This window comes from Homo sapiens, chromosome 9, assembly GCF_000001405.40.
Source record: "Homo sapiens chromosome 9, GRCh38.p14 Primary Assembly".
In the NCBI taxonomy this organism is placed as follows: domain Eukaryota; kingdom Metazoa; phylum Chordata; class Mammalia; order Primates; family Hominidae; genus Homo; species Homo sapiens.
The window spans coordinates 87,934,882-87,955,900 of record NC_000009.12 but is presented as its reverse complement, the minus strand read 5'-3'; the positions used below and the strand labels follow the sequence as shown (position 1 = coordinate 87,955,900).

Below are 21,019 nucleotides of genomic sequence, written 5' to 3'. Positions count from 1 at the left end.
TGATTCAATAAATTTGTTTAGTTTCAGAAGCAATTCTTTATTCCTTTATGTGTATGCATCCTTGAAGTTGTTAAATAATTAAGATTGTGCCATTTGTCTAGGTTTGGGGTTACACTTAAATTAGATAACTTTTTCATGAGGTATTTAGTTTTCATATAAGAAAGAACAGGAAACAGAAAAATACACGTTATCTATTCTTTTGCTCAAAAAGGAAACAAGAAATCTAAACGAAAAACCAGTAAGATTAGAGAGACAGGAAGAGGCAGGGTAGATAGGATGGGGGAATGGGAGTAGAAAAGGAGGAATAGGAAGAGGGATACCTTTTTGAGTGTACCCTTTACCTGTTCTTATATTTAGAAACAAGCTAATTTTTCATGTGCTCAAAAATAATTAAGGAGTGGGAGGGATGCTACCCTAAACTACTTTATGTGTATTCTAAGATTGTGCAAAGAAGTAAATACAATATGGATAATGAGGGCCGGGTTCTCTCTGTTGGAGAAGGAGCTATAAATAAGAAAGGAAGAAGGTTAAACTATACCTGTGGTGCTGAATTGGAATTGCAGATACCAGTATAAATTTATGATTCTACGAATCAGTATGAATCTGTAGTTATGTGAATCCATTATTACATGAACCAGTATGAATGAATGGTTCTATGAATCAGTATGAATTCTTGTGAAGAATGGCCCACTAGACCTTCTGGCCTTCAAAGGTACCTTAGGAGTTGGGATTTTGTGACTCTTCCTCGCATGAATTGAGCCCCATTTATTCCCAGCTTCAGAATTATTTCTGAAAAATTCAGAAGACAGGTTTTATGTCTCCTCTTTGGGTTTTATCTCTGACTTTCACCTAAGTCTTGATTATGTTATTTTATTCCTTTAAAATTCATCATGAGCAGATACATGTCAAATTCTTCCTGCTGTCTTTAATCAGGAGCAGAAAATCGGAGCAATGTGTCCTTCATGTCTAGGAAGGGGCATTTTTCTTCTGACAGGATAATTTTATTAGTTTTCAACTTTCAACTATAGCCTTTGGAAAGCGTCAAAAGACTTAGTATTCATATTCATGTCACTAACTAGAAATGAATGTACTTACTGAGAGCCCAATCAGGCCCACACACTTGGAAGTGACATCTCAAGAGACCTTTCCAGACAGGACACTCTGGCAGAGATGACCAAGCTGGCACGAGGTGTGGAAATGAATGTTTGGACAGAAAAGACTTGGGCAAGAAAACCCCTTCAAATCACTGAAAGGCTGGCCTGTGGAAAAGGAAGTAGACACTGTGCCCTGACCGCAAAACCAGGATCAGCAGATGGAAACAGCACATTACTGCTCAGGGCCAGGAGGAATTTCCCCAACTTCTAGAGGTGTCCACTGATAAAATAAAATCATTGTCACTGGCGATGTTCAAACTGAAACTGAAAGATCATCACAGGGGTGTATACAAAGCAAGAAGCTAGATGGTGTCACCTCCTTTGGAAATATCCTTCACCGACCTGACATAGATGTGAACTATGCCCTGAGGTGGACTCCTCTGAGACACCCTGAGCACTGCCCTGCTTTGGAGGATGTTTGAAGAGTGGCCATGGCCTGGGAGGATCTGGGCTGCTCTCCCACAGGCTGTCAAGTCTAAAGTTTGCTAGTTTTCATGCAGGTGAATGTCAGTACATATATGCAGAAGACATAAACTTGAACATATAGCAATACAAACTGTCCAAAGTAAAAGAAAAACAAAAGACTGAAAATAAAGAACAGATCATAAGTGACCTGTGGGAAAACTTCAAGCAGCCTAAATACAAATACCTGTAGTCCCTGAAGAAGAGGAGAATGGAAGAGAAAAATTATTTGATGCAATAACGGCCATAATTTTAAAAAATTGGATGAAAACTATAAACTCACAGATCCAAATAATTCAATGAAACAGAAGAACAAGAAACAAGAAGAAAATAAAACCAAAGCATATCATAATAAAATTTTTCACTACTAGTGATAAAACAGCCAGAGAAATAATATTACATATAAAGGAGCAATAAGAATAACAGAAGAGGCCAGGCATGGTGGCTCTTGCCTGTAATCCCAGCACTTTGGGAGGCCGAGATGGGCGGATCACGAGGTCAGGAGTTTGAGACCAGCCTGGCCAACATGGTGAAACCCCATCTCTACTAAAAATACAAAAATTAGCCAGGCATGATGGTGTGTGCCTGTAATCCTAGCTACTCAGGAGGCTGAGGCAGGAGAATTACTTGAACTCGGTAGGCGGAGGTTGCAGTGAGGCGAGATTGTGCCACTGCACTCCAGCCTGAGCAACAGAGCGAGACTCCATCTCGAAAAAAAAAAAAAAAGAATAACAGATTTCTCCTAAGAAACAAATTAAACTAGAAAAAAACAAAAGCACCATCTTTATAGTATTAAAATTAAAAACAAAACAAACTGTCAACCTAGAATTATATCCTCAACAAAAACTAATTTTAGAAATGAAAGACAAGGATAATCACTTTTTTTCAGAAAGGGAAAATCTGAATGAATTAATCACCAGCACATGTGCCCTATAAGAAATGTTACAAGAAGTCCTTCAGGCAGAAGGAAAAGGATGCCATATGGATATATGCATCTTCACAAAGGAATAAAGAACACTAGAGGCCGGGTGCGGTGGCTCATCCCTGTAATCCCAGCACTTTGGGAGGCCTAGGCGGGCGGATCAGGAGGTCAGGAGATCGAGACCATCCTGGCTAACGCGGTGAAACCCCGTCTCTACTAAAAATACAAAAAATTAGCTGGGTGCGGTGGCAGGTGCCTGTAGTTCCAGCTACTCGGGAGGCTGAGGCAGGAGAATGGCATGAACCCGGGAGGCGGAGCTTGCAGTGAGCGGAGATAGCGCCACTGCACTCCGACCTGGGCGAAAGAGCGAGACTCCATCTCAAAAAAAAAAAAAAAATACTAGAGCCGGGCACAGTGGCTCATGCCTGTAATCCCAGCACTTTGGGAGGCCGAGGCAGGCAGATCACGAGGTCAAAAGATCAAGACCATCCTGGCCAACATGGTGAAACCCTGTCTCTACTAAAAAAATACAAAAATTAGCTGGGTGTGGTGGCATGCACCTGTAGTCCCAGCTACTCTGGAGGCTGAGGCAGGAGAATCCCTTGAACCCAGGAGGTGGAGGTTGCAGTGAGCCGAGATTGTGCTACTTTACTCCAACCTGGTGACAGAGTGAGACTCCATTTCAAAAAAAAAAAGAACACTAAAAATAGTAAGTATGTGGGTAAATATAAATGATATATGTTTTCTTATTTTACAATTCTCTTTGGAAGACTTTCTAAAGCATAGTAATAATACATCGTGGGGTTTATGATATCTGTAGAAGTAACATATATTGTAATAATAGCAAAAAAGCCAATAGAGTAGAAATGGAACTATACTATTGTAAGGTCCTTATGCTATCACATGAAGTAGTATAATATTACAGAAAGTTAGTGACGAAGAAGTATAAACAAACATAGGGCAACCACTACAAAAAATAAAAAAGACAGTTACAGCTAATAAGCCAACAAAAGAGATAAAAATAAAGCTAAAACAATTACTCATTCCAGAAAGAAGGAGGAAGCTGAGAACCCTGCATAGAGTTGCCCAGCTCCTGGCCCTGAACAGGTCCTAAGGGAGGGTGAGTGAAGGAACTATGGGCAACACACTCCTGCCATGGGCTTCTGGGATCCTATAGCCACAAGAGATGCCATGGCCCCACAGTGGGGTCATGCCCGGGGAACTGCCAGAGAGTAACCAGAGGCAGAGCTCATGCCTGCGTGGAGCCAGAAGGTTTTGTGTGCAGGGCAGCTGCAGCAAAACACAATCATAGGTGCCCATCCTCCAAGGCACTCCGTCTTGCGCCGAGTGGCTCTAGCCCCTGCTCAATGCTGGGCAGGAGAGAGCAGGGCTGTCTTTCCTGTGGGACCAGGGTGCATCTGACCTCCCCCGACTCCCCCTGCCCCCTGCTCAGCATCTACTGGCCCCTCCTAAAGCCTTTGCCTGGCTGCTCCTGCAAGAGCATGCACAAAGCACAGCCTCCACTGCCTTGCCTGGGAACACTTTGGCTCCCCCAGCACAGCCAATGCTCAACTCAACAGGACAAAGCTGCAGGCCCAGTCCCAAACCGCCAGGGTGTGAGAATATAGCTCAGGAGTATTGAGCTGAGATCTGTGACTGGAGCTTGAGCAAGAGAGGAGCCTCCACTTTCAGAACACTGAAAAGAGTGCGGCACAGGTTCATGGGACAGTGTGGGAGCTAGGCCTGCCTCCCCCTGTAACACTGGTCTAAAAAGGATGCAGCTTATTTGCCAGCTGCAGCCTCTGCCCAAGGGTGTCCCAAAGCCTAGAGCACCTAACAACCCAAAGATCTAGTGCAGAAGGCTTGGGACAAAACTAGCTGGCTAGGCCAGCTCCAGGGCAGACACTAGGAGACCCAGTCTGGGTAGCACAAGCTGGGTGGTTCCCACAGCCATCTGCTGGGCAAAAAACCCTGGGCCACAGGTGCCACACCAGCTGCACACCCACAGCAACACCACCCTCCCCAGGGATCCTCTACCCTTGACCCAGTGCATCCACAGACACCTGCAGACATAACCCACAGCCTGCTTGGACTCTGCCAAGCACAGAGGATCAGTGGGCCCTTGGGGAGCTGCAGGTCTCCTGGAGTCCTAACCTTCAGTTCAGGCTGCCCCTAAGGGAGGCAGGAGCGCAGCCTGCCAGAGCCCCCCTTGGGGCTAAGGAAACATGGGGGCAATGCCAGTGATTGGAGGAGCTTCCCTAAGGCCTGAGAATGCACTTAGTGAGGGGGTCATCTCTCACTGCCCCCTCCTCAGTCTCCCCCACCCAAGAGTACTGCTGCAAACATGCTAAAATACAGAGGAGGCAGGTGGCTGAGAGCCTATCTGCTGACCCTTACACTTTAGCACCATCTACTGGATTATGGTTTTAATTACACCACCAAACGAAAATGCCTTCAGCGCACATCACCTGTGAAAGCCAATGCAGGTGTCTAGCCACAAATAAAGATCCTGTAGGAAGCCTTGGCCCTCTGAAAGCACCTAGAAACTAAACCTATCAACTATACTCAACATACCGCACAGTCAAACCTTCAATGGAAATAAACATATAAAAACAAAAAGCCACATCCAATGACAGCAATTTCAAAAAGACAAAGGAACATAAGCCCTCTCAGATGAGGATCAGTACAAAACGCTGGCAATTCAAAAAGTCAGAGTGTCTATTTACCTCCAAAAGATCACACTAGCTCCCCAGATTGAAATGGCTGAAATGACAGAGAATTCAGAATCTAGGTGGCAAGGAAGCTCAACAAGCAGCTAACAAACATATGAAAGAATGTGCATCATCACTAATCATCAGAGAATTCCAAATCAAAACCACAATGAGATACTATCTCACAACAGTCAGAATAGCTATTATTAAAAAGTCAAAAAACAACTGATGCTGGCAAGGCTGTGGGGAAAAGGGAATGCTTATATGCTACTGGTGGCAATGTAAATTAGTTCAGTCACTGTGGAGAGCAGTTTGGAGATTTTTCAAAGAAGTAAGAATTGAACTACCATTTGACCTAGCAATCCCATTACTGGATATATACCCAAAGGAAAACAAACCATTCTACCAAAAAGACACATGCATGCGTATCTTCATTGCAGCATTATTCACAATAGTAAAGACATGGAATCAACCCAGGTGGCCATCAACAGTGGACTGGATGAAGAAAATGTGATACATATACACCATGAAATACTATGCAGACATAAAAAAGAATGAAACTGTGTCCTTTGCAGCAACATGGAAGCAGCTGGAGGCCATTATCTTAAGTGAACTAATGCAGAAACAGAAAACCAAATACCACGTTTTCATTTACAAGTGGGAGTGAAACATTAGGTACAAATGGACATAAAGGTAGGAACAATAGACACTGGGGAACACGAGATGAGGTATAGAGAGGAGAACAAGGGCTGAAAAGCTAACTGATGGATACTATGCTCACTTCCTGGGTAATAGTCAATCATACTCTGAACCTCAGCATCACGCTATATACTTTTGGAACAAATCTGCGTATGTACACCCTGAATCTAAAATAAAAGTTGGAAAAAAAACCCCTACTCATTCCAAGAGCAGGCAGAAAAAGACAGAAATGGGAATGAACAGAAGATGGGACAAACAGGAAGCAAACTATTACAATGGTAGAATTAAGCTCAGTTATGTCAATAATATTAAATGTAAATGGCCCATCTAAACAGCCCCATTAAAAGGTAGATATTGTTCAATTAGATAAAGAATTAAGATTCATCTCTATGCTTCCTATAAGAAAAACACTTTAAATATAAAGATGCAAAGAGGTAAAAGTAAAAACACAGAAAATGATATACCATGGTAACACTGAGCAAAAGGAGCTATAGTGGCTAAATCAGTAACAAAGTAGACATCAGAGAAAAGACAATTACCAGGGTTACAGAGAGTCATTTCATAATGATAAGGGGTCAACTAATCAAAAGTTTATAACAATTGTATATATTTATGTACCTAATAATTTCAAAATACATGAAGCAAAAACATATAGGATTAGAAGAAAAAAATTAAAAAATCCAAAGTTATACTGGGGAGATTTCAATACCTTTTTCTCAATAACTGATAAAATAAAAATAGACAGAAAACCAGTGACAACATAGAAGACTGAAACATTATCGGCTGGGCGCGGTGACTCACACCTATAATCCCAGCACTTTGGGAGGCCGAGGCAGGTGGATCACCTGAGCTCAGAAGTTTGAGACCACCCAGGGCAACATGGTGAAACCCCATCTCCACTAAAAATACAAAATAATTAGCCGGGTGTGGTGGCGCATGCCTGTAGTCCCAGATACTGGAGAGGCTGAGGCAGGAGAATTGTTTGAGCCCCTGAGGCAGAGGTTACAGTGAGCCAAGATGACACCACTGCAATCCAGCTTGGGCTACAGAGTGAGACTCCATCTCTCTCTCTCTCTCTCTCTCTCTCTATATATATATATATATATGTATATGGGCCATTTACATTTGATATTATTGACGTAACTGAGCTTAATTCTACCATTCTAATAATTTGCTTCCTGTTACCATATACCATTGAAACACAATGTATCAATGTGTGTGTATATATATATAGTATCAATGTATATATGTGTGTATATATGTATCAATGTGTATATATATACAGTTTATGTATATATAAACTATATATATAAACTTGCTGTAATATTAATACTCTACCCAATAACATATGTTCCTTTAAAATGCACTAATAAGATTTCCAAGATAGACTGTATTCTTGGCCATAAAACAAGTCTTGATTAATTTTAAAAAGATTTAAATCATATATAGCAGACCACTGTGAAATCAAAGTAAAAATCAATAACAGTATCTCTAGAATATCTCCAAATACTTGGATATCAAACAGCACACTTCTAATTAAACCATGAATCAAAGATATCAAAGGGGAAATTAGAAAGTTTTTTTTTTTTTTCCTGAGACAGAGTCTCACTCTGTCACCCAGGCTGGAGTACAGTGGCATGATCTCAGCTCACTGCAACTGCCACTCCCAGGTTCAAGCGATTCTCCTGCCTCAGCCTCCTGAGTAGCTGGGACTACAGGCACCCGCCACCATGCCTGGTTAATTTTTGTATTTTTAGTAGAGACAAGGTTTCACCAGCTTGGCTAGGATGGTCTCAATCTCCTGACCTCGTGATCCACCTGTGTTGGCCTCCTAAAGTGCTGGGATTACAGTGACAATCAAAACACAATGTATCAAAATTTGTGGAGTGCAGACAAAAGGTCTGTATTAGAAAAGAAAGCTCTCAAATCAGTGATTTCAGCTTCCTACCTTAAAATACTAGAAAAAGATAAAAATGGATTAAGGACTTACATGTAAGACCTGAAACTGTAAAACTCCTGGGAAAAAAGTAAAGAAAAAGCTTCATGAAATTAAATCTTGGCAATGATTTAATGGATTTGACACAAAAAGCAGAGGCAACAAAAGCAAAAACAAACAAGTGAGACTATATAAAACCAAAAATCTTCTGCACAGCAAAGGAAATAATCAACAGAGTGAAAAGGCAACCTACAGAACAGGAGAAAATACTTACGAACCATACAACCAATAAGGGGTTAATTTCTAAAATATATAAGGAACTGCTATAACTCAATAGTGAAAACTCAAATAACTCAATTAAGAATGAGCAAAGAACTTGAACAGATATTTTGCCAATGAAGACATAAATGGCCAAGTGTCTGAAAAGGTGTTCAAATTCATCAATCATTAGGGAAATGCAAATGAAAACCACAATGAGATATCATTTCTGTATTAGTCCATTTTCACACTGCTATGCAGAAATACCTAAGACTAGGTAATTTATAAAGAAAAAGAGGTTTAATGGACTCACAGTTCCACATGACTGGGGAGGCCTCACAATCATGGTGGAAGGCGAAGGAGGAGAAAGTCATGTCTTACATGGCAGCAGGCAAGAGAGCGTGTGCAGGGAACTGCCCTTTATAAAACCATCAGATCTCATGAGAATTATTCACTATCACGAGAACAGCAAGGGAAAAACCACCCCCAATGATTCCATTACCTCCCACCAGGTCCCTCCCACAACATGTGGAGTTTATGGGAACTACAATTCAAGATGAGATTTGGGTGAGGACACAGCCAAACCATATCAATCTCATACCTGTTAGGATGATTATTATTAAAAAAAACAAAAGATAAAAGTGAGGTTGTGAAGAAATTGGAACTCTTGTACACTATTGGTGGGAATGTAAAATGGTACAGCCACGATGGAAAACTGTGGAGATTCTTCAAAAACTTAAAAATGGAATTACTATGTGATGCAGCAATTGCACTCCTGGTTATATATTCAAAGGAGTTAAAATTATGATCTCTAAGAGATATCTACACACCCATGTTCACTGCAACACTATTCACAATAACTAAGATACAAAAACAACCCAAATATCCACTGATATATGAATGGAAAAAGAAAATGTAGTATATATATATATATACAATGGGATACTGTTCAGCCTTAAAAAAAAGAAAATTCTACCATTTGTGACAATATGGATGGACATAGAAAACATTATGCTAAATGAATTCAGTCACAGAGAGACAAATACTCCATGATTCCACTTAAATGAGGTATCTAAAATAGTCAAACTTATAGAAGTAGAAAATAGAATAGTGGTTGCTAGGGGATAGGGGAGGGGGAAATGGGGAGTTGCTGAATGGGTGTATAAGGTTACAGTTAGACAAGATGAGTAAATTCTAGAGACCTGTTGTACAACATAGTGCCTACAGTCAACAATATGGTATTATGCACTTAAAATTTTAAGATCTCATGTTAAGTGTTCTTACCACATACACACAAAACAATAAACAAATAAACAAAAAGCAACAAAAGGACACAAGAAAACTTTTGTAGGGATAGTATCACGAGAATATGCATATGTTCAAACTCATTAAATTGTACACATTAAATATATATAGTTTTTAATATATCAATGATATCTCAGCAAAGCTGTTAAAAAATTAAGCTGACATACACAATAAGCACAACAAATTGGAAGAGAATATGAAAGTTAAATAAGCCAAAGGGAAAGATAAAGAAAATAAGCCAAAGGGACAGATAAAGATTAGTAACCATGAAATAGAAAAGAGAAAAAATATAAAGAAATGAATTAAAAATGGTTCTTTGAGATTAATAAAGTCATAGATTCTACAGATATTCAAAGGATATAAGAGAATATTAACAACTTTATGTTAATATATTCAACAACTTAGATGAAATTCCTTGAAATAGATAAATTACCAAAGGGCACTCAAGAATAAATATATCTATTAAAAATTAAACATAGTTAAAAACATACCCACAAAGAAAACCCTAAACATATATGGCTTCACTGTCAAATAGCACTATATATTTAAGGAGTAAATAATGTTGATTATACACAAACTCTTCTAGAAAATTGAAGAGGAGGAGACATTTTCCAACTTACTCTATAAAGCCAGTGTCTCAGTCCATTCAGGCTGCTATCACGAAATAACTTATACTGAGTAATCTATAAACACAAGAAAGTTATTGCTCACACTTTTGGAGTAAGGATAGACCAAGATCAATGTGCCAGCAGATTCAGCATCTGTCAATTCCTCATCGATGGCACCTGCTATGTGTCCTCACAAGGTGGAAGAGGTGAATGAACTCCCTTGTGCCTCTTTTATGAGAGCGCTAATCCCATTTATGAGGTCTCCACCCTAACGAAATAATCATCTCCTAAAGTTCCCACCTCTTAATACTATTGCATTGGTGGTTAGGTTTCAATGCAGTGAATTTTGGGGGAAACACAAACATTCAGACCACAGCAGCCAGCATTACTCTGAAACCTTTTTTGGTTTCAGAGCAGATATTACAGGAAAATAGATATTACAGGAAAATAAAACTGCAGATGATAATCCCCACCATGCACACAGACACAAGAATTATCCAGTTAATAAAAATGTAGCTAAATGAATCACACAATATATAAAACAGTTCATACATGATGACTAAATGGGGTTTATCCCAGAAATACAAGGTTGCTTTAATTTTGAAAATCAATTAATATAATGTGCCATATTAACAGAATAAAGATGAAAAATTCTATGACCATGTCCGCAGATGCAGAAAAAGCATTTTACAAAATCCAATATTAATTCCTGATTAAAAACTCTCTGGAAACTATGAATTGAAGAAACTTCCTCAACCTGATAAAGTATACTGACCAAAAACCTGCAACTAACATCGTATTTAGTGAAAAAATGCTCTTCTTCCCACGCCACAGGAGGACTTCCCAGCGCTCGGCGGCCCCCGCCCACCCCGGATGCCGCGCCCCCAGGCTTCAGCGCTGTGGTGCTCCTGAAGGGCACGCCTCCCCCTCCCCCACCAGGCCTGGTGCCCCCAATCAGCAAGCCGCCCCCCGGCTTCGCTGGCCTTCTGCCTAGCCCCCAACCCCGCCGCCGCCACCACCACCACCACCACCACCACCACCACCACCACCACCACCACCACCACAAAAGCACCCAGGCCGCCGCCTGCCCCACGGGCCTACCTAGTCCCCGAGAACTTCTGGGAGAGGAAACTTCAGCTCATCCAGTCCATCAGGGACTTCCTGCAGAGCGACGAGGCCCGCTTCAGCGAGTTCAAGAGCCACTCAGGGGAGTTCAGACAGGGCCTGATCTCCGCAGCCCAGTATTACAAGAGTTGCCGGGGTCTGCTGGGGGAGAATTTCCAGAAGGTCTTTAATGAGCTGCTGGTCCTGCTGCCCGACACGGCCAAGCAGCAGGAGATCCTGTCTGCACACACGGACTTCGGCAACCGCGAGAAGACTCTCAGCACCAAGTCCAAGAACAACAAGAAGAGTGCGTGGCAGGCCACCACCCAGCAGGCGGGCCTGGACTGCCGTGTGTGCCCCACCTGCCAGCAGGTGCTCACGCATGGCGACGCCAGCAGCCACCAGGCGCTGCATGCTGCCCGGGACGACGACTTCCCCTCCCTGCAAGCCATCTCCAGGATCATCACGTAGCTCCTGCCAGCGTGGCCAGAGCTATTGCACCATGAGCGTCCTTCCTCCTTCCTCTCCGGGCTGCCAGGCAGCCAGGTCAGGCCCGGTGAGGCCACCTGGCCTCTTGGTTGGCCAGGCCCACCAGGAAGTCACCAGGACGGTCCACCTGCCCTGTTGGCACACTCAGGCGGGAGTCCACCCCTGCCTCAGTGGTGGGCCAGTCTCGGTTTGCATTCTTGTGCTTTTGGGAGGCGCCAGGGGAGGGAAGGGCTGGGATGCTGGGACCTGTTGTTGCTGGCAAAGCCAAAGGTCACAGTGGCCTGATCTGGGCCCTCCCGAAGCTGAGGGCTGCAGCCCCTGCGGCCTCAGAGCTGAAAGCTGCGGCGCCACTGGTGCCAGAGTCAAGATGTCACATATGTGTGTTGTGTAAACAGTTGGCTGTTTCGTGCTTCAAGAATGTTCAGGATTAAAAGCAGACAAGAAATTGTGCTACTTGAAGTTGAATCTTTTTATGAGACAAGCTGAATCTGGGATCTCGAATTGCCTCTGACCTTTTATAAGACATTTTATCTTCAAATAAATTTATTTTGCAATACCACACACACACACACACACACACACACACACACACACACACACACACGCTCTTCTTCTAATATCAGGACACAGCAAAAATGACCACCCTTTCATTCTTATTCAACAATGTATTAGAGATCCTAGCCATTCTAGCCAATAAAAATAAGATATAGAAAGTGATCTTATTTAAATGGAAGAAGTAAAATTCTTTAATTTGAAGATTACATGTTTTATTTTTATGCAGAAAATTCTATAGATTCAACAACAAACTACCAAAACTAATAACTGAGTTTAGGAAGATCACAAGACATAAGGTCACAAAAATCAATTGCATTTGTATTCATTAGCCAAAAAACTGAATTTAAAAATGTTTAAGTACAATTTATAAGGTACCAATAACATATAAAATATTAAGATGTAAAGCCAATTAAGTATATGCAGGAGATATACGTTGAAACTACAAAATAGTGATAAAAGGAACTAAAGAAGACCTAAATAAATGGAGAGACACATGTTCATGGTCAAAGACTCAATATTTTTAAGATATCAATTCTCCCCAAATTGATCTACAGATTCAAAACAATCTCAGTAAATCTTTTAGAAGGATTTTTTGTATGTATTGACAAGATTGACAAGATGATTCTAAAATTTATATAGGAAAGCAGGTAACCTAGAATAATCAAAACAACTTGAAAAACCCAGTGTTTAGCCGCCCTGCCATATCCATTCTTTTGCCAAATTATTTTCTTTTTTTTCTGTTTTTGAGACAGAGTCTCGCTTTGTCACCCAAGCTGGATGTGCAGTGGCGCAATCTTGGCTCACTGCAACCTCCGCCTCCCAGGTTCAAGCTATTCTCCTGCCTCAGCCTCCCAAGTAGCTGGGACTACAGGCACGTGCCACCACACCCAGCTAATTTTTGTATATTTTTAGTAGAGACAGGGTTTCACCATATTGGCCAGGCTTGTCTTGAACTCTTGACCTCAAGTGATCCACCTGCCTCAGCCTCCCAAAGAGCTGAGATTACAGGTGTGAGCCACCGCACCCAGCCCCAAATTATTTTCAATGCCACTTTGGTCATATATAAAATTTCCTTATGATTGTGATTCTGTTCCTTAGCCTGTATTCTCTTCTCTTATACAACCACTATCTTTGCTCTATTATCACCTATCAAATTTATTATAAACTTAAAACATGCCCTCTCTGTGCTAATTTTTGCCTTGTTCTCCTTCAAAATTGTCTTGGCTATGTTTGGCCCTCTTATCTTTCATATAAAATTTAAGATATTTTTGGAATTTCCATAAAAATCTGTCATTATTTTGACAGAAATTGTATTGCATATATGATCATATTTGAAAACCAAAATCTTTATGTTACTGTCTTCCCATCCATGATCATCTATCATAACTTTATTCAGTTTTTCTTTTAATACCTCTGACTAAAGTGTTATATATTTTGAACAGTCTAAATTTATCATGCCATGTATATAATAGATTGATCATGTGTTTGTTATTCTAAGTATCTTTTTAAAAATCTACTTAATGTAACTTTTTGCTGGTATTTAAAAATGCAACTGATTATTCCTGGTATGTTTTCCTCTGACTACTTTTAAGATCCTCGTTGTCTTTAGTCCTCCCCATCTTATTATGTTTTTTTTTTGAGACTGAGTCTTGCTTTGTCACCCAGGCTGGGGTGCGGTGGCGTGATTTTGGGTCACTGCAACCTCTGCCTCCCAGGTTCAAGTGATTCTTGTGCCTCAGCCTCCTGAGTAGCTGGGATTACAGGTGTGTACCACCATGCCTGGCTAATTTTTGTATTTTTAGTAGAGATGGGGTTTCACCATGTTGGCCAGGCTGGTCTCGAGCTCCTAATCTCAAGTAATCAGCCTGCCTTGGCCTCCCAAAGTGTGAGATTATGGGCATGAGCCACCATGCCCGGCCTAAGATGTGTGCTTTTTATTTCACGTTTTTAATATGTTTTTGTGCCCTATGTTCTTAATACACTCTGAAGCACTGTCAGTCTTCATCTCACACCTAGAGTTGCTGTTTTCCCAGGCTCCTCATTTTTTCCCTCAAAGCTACTCCTTTTCCTTTGCTATCTATCATTTATACAATGTCCAGAGTGAGATTTTTAAAATGCAATTCAGATAATATCATGCCCCTGCTTAAAAGCCTGGGAATGATTTCCTTTGCATTTAGGGTTCTTAAAAAAATCTTTATAGTAGCTGACGAGGCCCAGCCAATGTCCACACCCTTTCTTTGGCATCCTCCTTTGTTTTGTGATTTAGTCCCACTGACCTCCTTCAAATTCTTTCCAAAAAATTCCTGTCAGGCCATTCACTCTCTGGTCTGTTTGGGCCACTGCTCCTCACTCACCGTACCTGCCTCATTTGTCTTTATTCTTCATGTTGGAGCTAAAGTATAACTTTCTTAGGTGACTTTCTCCATGGAACCTACTATTATAACTCACTGTCCTTGTTAAACTCCACATAACACCCTGTTTTTCCTTTATAGAACCTACTGCATATTGTGATTATATGTATATTTGTGATTACTAATTTGTTTCTTTCTCCTTCCTTACCACAAATCTTAAGACAAAAATTAGCCTTTTAAGGCCAGGCATAATGGTTCATGCCCGTAATCCCAGCACTTTGGGAGGCTGAGGCGTGCCGATTATGAGGCCAGGAGATCGAGACCATCCTGGCTAACGCGGTGAAACCCCGTCTCTACTAAAAATACAAAAACATTGGCCGGGTGTGGTGGCAGGCACCTGTAGTCCCAGCTACTCAGGAGGCCGAGGCAGGAAAATGGCGTGAACCCAGGAGGCAGAGCTTCCAGTGAGTCGAGACCGTGCCACTGCACTCCAACCTGGGCGACAGAGCGAGAGTCCGTCTAAAAAAAATTAAATTAAATTAAAATTTTTTAAAAATGAAGAAACAACCAGAGAATGGAAGCAAGTATTTGCAAACTATGCATCAGACAACGGATTCATCCACAAAATATATAAAGAATTCAAACTACTCAAAAGAAAAAATACAAACGATCTTATTAAAAAAATCTACCCAAAACCTTTGTCCCCCACCATTATTTCCCTACACCTTCTTTTCCCGACCACCTTTGACCCCCTCCCTCTGGCCACCCTTTTTCTTCCTCCATCTGCCCCCAAACTTCTTCACCATTTTTCTCCACCATCATTTCACAAAGCCTTCTCTACTCTCCTGCTCAACACCCTTTTCCCCATCCACCGACCCAAACCCTTTCCCCACTGTTTCTTCCCACCGTCTTTTCCTCTTATCCCTGGCCACCCTCTTTTTACCCCTCCCGCATCACACTCTTTTGCTCCTTCATCTAAGCAAAAACATTTTCCCCCGCCTTTTCCCAAAACCTTCTCCCCACTCCTGCTGCTCACCACCGTCTTTTCCCCCTTCATCCACCCAAAAACTGTGTTCTTCATCGTCTTTCCCCCCGTTCCTCCTTGCCATTTCTCTTTCCCTTCTCCATCTACCCAAAAACATTTCCCCCATCTTTTCACAAAGCCTTCTCCCCACTGCTGCTCATCTTCCTCTTTCCCCCCTCCATCCACCCCCCAAAACTTTCCCCACCATCTTTTCAAAGTCTCCCCCCTTTACCACTCGTGCTCTTCTTTCCCCAATCCTGCTTGCCATCCTCTTTTTTGTCCTGTATCTACCCCAAACTATTTTCCCGTCGTTTTCCCAACCCTCTAATCCCTGCTCCCTCTCCCCACCCTCTTTCCTCCTCCTCGTCACTCTCTCCCCCCTCCATCTATCGAAACACTTTTTACCCACCGGCTTTCTGCAAAACCTTCCCTCCCTCCCGCTCCCCACCCTGTTTTTCCGCCTCCATGTACCCAAAAACTTTTTTCCCCACCATCTTTTCGCCGCCATCTTTTTGCAACCCCTTCTCCTGCTAAGCTATCCTTTTTTTCCCTTTGGCATTAACTACCCTCTTTACCCCCCTACAACTATCCCAAAACTGTTTTCCTTCTTCTACCTCTCCAGCCGCGCCATCTCCATCGCTGCCAACAACCGCAGCGACGCAAGCCACGCTCCCGCGTCTCCAGCCTCCAGCATATGGCCAGTGACTCCCGATTCCTAGTCCTCTACGCCGGGATGCGACCACCTCGACACGTCAGTACGGGAACCTGAAAAGACCAGATTTCTTTTCAGCATCATTTATATACTGCCGTTATGCCCACGGAGGATCCTGGACTGCATGTATTGATTGGATGAGAAAAAAACCTCCAGGCTTACTCTGATTGGACTTCATGATCATGTTCTGATTGGATGAGAGCAAGTCTTAACAACCAACCACAGCATGAAAATAAAGTCCAATCAAAGTAGGCCTAGAGGTTTTTTCTCTCATCCAATCAGAACGTGTAGTCCAGGAACCGCTTTTGCATAACTTCAGTAGATAAAGCATGCTGAGGTCATGTCAGGTCATTTCAAGCTCTTCTGTGTCGAGCTAAGGAGCTGCTCTGTGCCCGGCTTACAGAACTGGAAGGGGTAGCCACCTTCCGCCTGATGGAGGCTGGAGAACGGATGGAACCTGGATCCCTGGAGCCTGGGACACTACCTCGCTGCGGTTGGTGGTGGCCACAGACCAGTAGGAGGGCGGCTGGCAGCGGGAGCTTCTTCTGCCGGGCTGGAGGATTAGGAGAAGGAAGAGGGAACGCCACATGCTGGAGGCTGGAGCCTGTGCCACCGTGGCTCACCTCGCTGTGGTTGGTGGCAGCTCGCCTTGCTGTGGTTGGTGGTGACGTCGGAGACTGCAGCTCGGCCACAGTGGTAGAAATGTGTTGGGGTAGGTGAGTGTTCCGGGGCTGCCCTGTACGTCTCTGGGGGTAAGGGTTGGGTGTCCTATTGGGGCTCACTGCTAGAGGCTACACTGCCTGTGGTAGTGGTCTGGTTGGGGGCACTCTCCGGGGTTGCATTGCTGGTGGTGGGGCAGGTTGACTGGCTATCTGGGGCTATGCTGCCCGCGGTGGCAGGAGTGGTGGCGGGAGGCAGGTTGTGTACACTAACGTGTACTGCTGGTGGCTGGGGAAGGGTTAGGGGCGCTATCTTCTGCTGCACTTCCCGCAGCAGGGGGTGGGTTGGGTGGAGTTACCCAGGGCTACAATGCTGGCAGTGGGGGGTGGTTTAGGGGCGTTGTTGGGTGCTGTACTGCCTGTGACTGGGGGGTGCGCCATCAGGAGCTGAACTGCTGTGGTGGAGTGGGGGGAGGCGGGTTTGGGACGCTATCCAGTGCAGCAACACCTGTGGCTGGGTCAGATTGTGGGCACTATCGGATGGTACACTCCCTGCGGTGTGGGGGGAGTGCTTTGGGGGGGAGTATTGGGGTTACATTGCCTGAAACTGTAGGGTGTGTTGGATGTGCTATCTGGGGGCTACACTGCTAGTAGCAGGGGGCAGATTAGGGGTGCTACGGGGGCTACACTGCCAGCGGTGTTGGCGAGCTGAGGAGGTGGCAAAGGCAGCGACAGCAATGGCCTCCTTCTGCCTTCTGGTGGCTTCCAAGTAAGGGATCGTTCTCCTCTTGGCAGACTCCAGACTCTAGAAGGAGATCTTCTCCTGCTTGAGCTAGATTGCACCGCAGGGCCCCCACACCCACTGTGGTTTCCTGTCTCGCCCTCATGCTCTGTGTTGCAGAGACCACCTGGGACTACTGGGCAGGGAGTAGGCACCACGGGGGAAGTGGGGGACAGGGCACTGTGGGTGGAGGCGTCAGGAATGGGAACCAGCCCTTGGGTGGGGAGGGCTGGCTGGGTCTGAGTTTCTCCTACTCAGGCTCCCCGAGGAAGGCAGCCCTGGCGGGCCCAGTAATTCCTGGCCGGGTGGACCTGGCCAGGGGCTGGTTTCAGTGAAGGCACTCACTCCCACCCCAGGCCCCAGTTCCTGGCCAGCTCTTGACAGAAGGAGAGGCTGGACTTTGGAAGGTGGGTGTGAGTGCCTTCAATGAAACTGATCCCTGCTACCCAGTCACCAGTGTGACAAGGTGAGGCTCTAACGGTTCCACTCCCTGAATCCTGTTTTGGGCTTTTCGGGCTTGCCTGCCCAGCTGCTCCAAGCCAGGCTGAAGGAGGAGAAGGAGGAGTTGCCTGTGGTATGGTTTAGCCTGCAGATGACGTGGTTCTGCAGCTTGCCTCATGTGGTTGGTGGTGGCGATGGAGACTGCAGCTCGATCAGAGCGGTAGGAGGACACCCACGGGGGCCAGGTGGTAGGAGCCTGGTAGGGTGGGCTGGTACATTGAGGGCGACGGTGGTTGTATTGGCATCGGCGCTAGTGGTGGTAGCAGTAGGAAGTCTGGGGGCCGGGAAGGGGGAGTAGGAGCACTGCAGGACCCATCCCGTTCTGGGGTGGGGAGGAACCTGTGGGTGCTGTAACGAAGGCCTCGGTGGCAGTGGTGGTGGTACACCTAGGGTCTTACTCTACTTGATTGTAGTTTGTCTGTGGTTCACATCACTTTTTTTTTTTTTTTTTTGAGACAGTCTCGCTCTGTTGCCTAGGCTAGAGTACAGTGGCACGATCTCGGCTCACTGCAACCTCCGCCTCCTGGGTTCAAGTGATTCTCCTGCCTCAGCCTCTTGAGTAGCTGGGACTACAGGTGCCCACCACCACACCTGGCTAATTTTTGTATTTTTATTAGAGATGGGATTTCACCATATTTGCCAGGCTGGTCTCAATCTCCTGACCTTGTTATCCCCCCGCCTCAGCCTCCCAAAGTGCTGGGATTACAGGGGTGAGCCTCCATGCCCAGCCTATACCACTTCTAAAGTTTCTTTGCATCATCTTAACTCTTTCCACCCATAATCACAAGTGAATGACAACCAAACACTTAATGACATGTAGATATTTATTATTTAATAGAATCCAAAATAAGTGCATTTTATGAATTAAATAAACAAAACACTGAAAGGTTCATTTCCATTTTTCTGTTAAAAGCTTTGTGCTTGGCCAGGTGTGGTGGCTCATGCTTGTAATCCCAGCATTTTGGGAGGCCAAGGCAGGCAGATCACCTGAGGTCAGGAGTTTGAGACCAGCCTGGCCCACATGATGAAACCCTGTCTCTACTAAAACTACAGAAATTAGCCAGGAGTGGTGGCAGGCACATGTAATCCCACACACAGCAACCCCATTACTATACTAGGGGTATACCTCAAGGAAAATAACTCATTGTAACAAAAAGATGCATGCACATGTATGTTCATTGCAGCACTATTCATAATAGCAAAGACATGGAGTCAATCCCGGTGCACCAAAGATAGATTGAAAATCCAAGGTAGATTGGAAAATTCCATATATATACCATGGAATACTGTGCAGCCATGAAAAGAACAAAATCATTTCCTTCGCAGCAACATGGATACAACTGGAATCCACTATCCTAAGCAAACTAACGCAGAAAGAGAAACCAAGTGTCTCGTTTTCACTCATATGTGGGAGCTACACATTAGGTGCACATTGGCATAAACATAGGAACAATAGACACTGGGAAATAAGAACGGGGAGGGACAGAGTGGGCCAGGGTTGAAAAACTACTTCTTGGGTCCTATGCTCACTACCTGTGTGATGGGTTCAATTGTACTCCAAACCTCAGCATCCCTCGATATACCTTTGGAAGAAACTTACACAGGTACCACTTTAATTTAGAATACAAACTAGAAAAAAAAAAAGAAAAATTTACTATAAGAAATTTTCTGTAAGTAAATATAAATTTCTTTTTAAGAAAAAAATTACTGAAGTAAAAAAATGGATTAAACTTTTACAAAGGACAGAGTTTTGCTAAGAATTTCAAAGCAATGCATTCATTGCAAAATATGACTTTAATTGTTTAACTTTTCTTCTTTTTTTGGAGATGGAGTCTCGCTCTGTCACTAGGCTGGAGTGCAGTGGCACGAGCTCAGCTCACTGCAACCTCCGCCTCCTGGGTTCAAGCAATTTTCCTGCCTCAGCCTCCCGAGTGGCTGGGACTACAGACATGCACCACCACACCCAGCTAATTTTTGTATTTTTAGTAGAGTCGAGGTTTCACCATGTTGGCCAGGATGGTCTTGATCTCTTGACCTCATGATCTGCCCGCTTTGGCCTCCCAAAGTGCTAGGATTACAGGCATGAGCCACCGTGCCCGGCCATTATTTAACCTTTGTACTAATAAAACACCACCTTTCTAAAATTATGTATATCCAATAGACCAATATTATCTATTTTTGTCAGATTACTCTAAACAGCATTGCACAGATACATCCTCTATTATCTAAACTTAAAATAAGCAGGAATTTTACTTTATTTATGTGATTACTTTTCTTTTTAAGCAAACTTCATGTTACGTCTAGTCCCTAAAAATACTAAAGGCCACATTTTGTAAGTGATATATTATTCTCATGATAATGTCTCTTGTTTAACTTAAACATTATTATTTTTTTAACGTATTTTAGATGGAGCCGGACTGTGTAGAACAAATAATTACAGAAACAAAGAAAAGTATGTTTCCAAAATTTATTAATTAAATTTAGGTTTATTTTAGTAATAAAGTGTAAATAGCAAATGGCATTCCTTTTCATTATTGGGTTAGTAGATACTACGTTCAGTATCTTTTCCTTACACACATCTAGTGAAAGATGTGAAAACAAAAACTTTCACAGTGAAGAGTATACTCATGTACCATTAATTCATCATGTCCGATAGCTTAAAAAATTCCCAAGAAGTGTATCCATCTCTTTTTTACTGGCTCTACAATTTCTTCACTTTTGCCATCCTCATGGAACTGTCAGCCAGCACGTTGAAAGGATTCTCTGAAAACAAAGTCATCATCAAGTT

At 43.4% G+C, this 21,019-nt stretch overlaps 1 long non-coding RNA gene and 1 pseudogene across 1 annotated transcript in view, besides 1 other annotated feature; both read left to right on the top strand.

Annotated features, from left to right (window-relative positions):
- Nucleotides 3,410-4,263: an enhancer, noted in NCBI's record as "H3K4me1 hESC enhancer chr9:90566553-90567406 (GRCh37/hg19 assembly coordinates)". NCBI's record gives its function as "activates a minimal SCP1, AML or CMV promoter by ChIP-STARR-seq in primed H9 embryonic stem cells {active_cell/tissue: H9 hESC(primed)}" and the evidence as "EXISTENCE:reporter gene assay evidence [ECO:0000049][PMID:30033119]".
- Nucleotides 10,878-11,825, top strand: LOC645937 (zinc finger protein 598, E3 ubiquitin ligase pseudogene; annotated as a pseudogene).
- Nucleotides 11,826-16,640: 4,815 nt separating this feature from the next.
- The window catches only part of LOC497256 (uncharacterized), a 71,588-nt gene continuing 67,209 nt past the window's right edge, over nucleotides 16,641-21,019 (top strand). The window contains exon 1 of the long non-coding RNA NR_149022.1: nucleotides 16,641-17,002. This is a non-coding gene — a long non-coding RNA (uncharacterized LOC497256). The remainder of the gene's footprint in view (nucleotides 17,003-21,019) is intronic.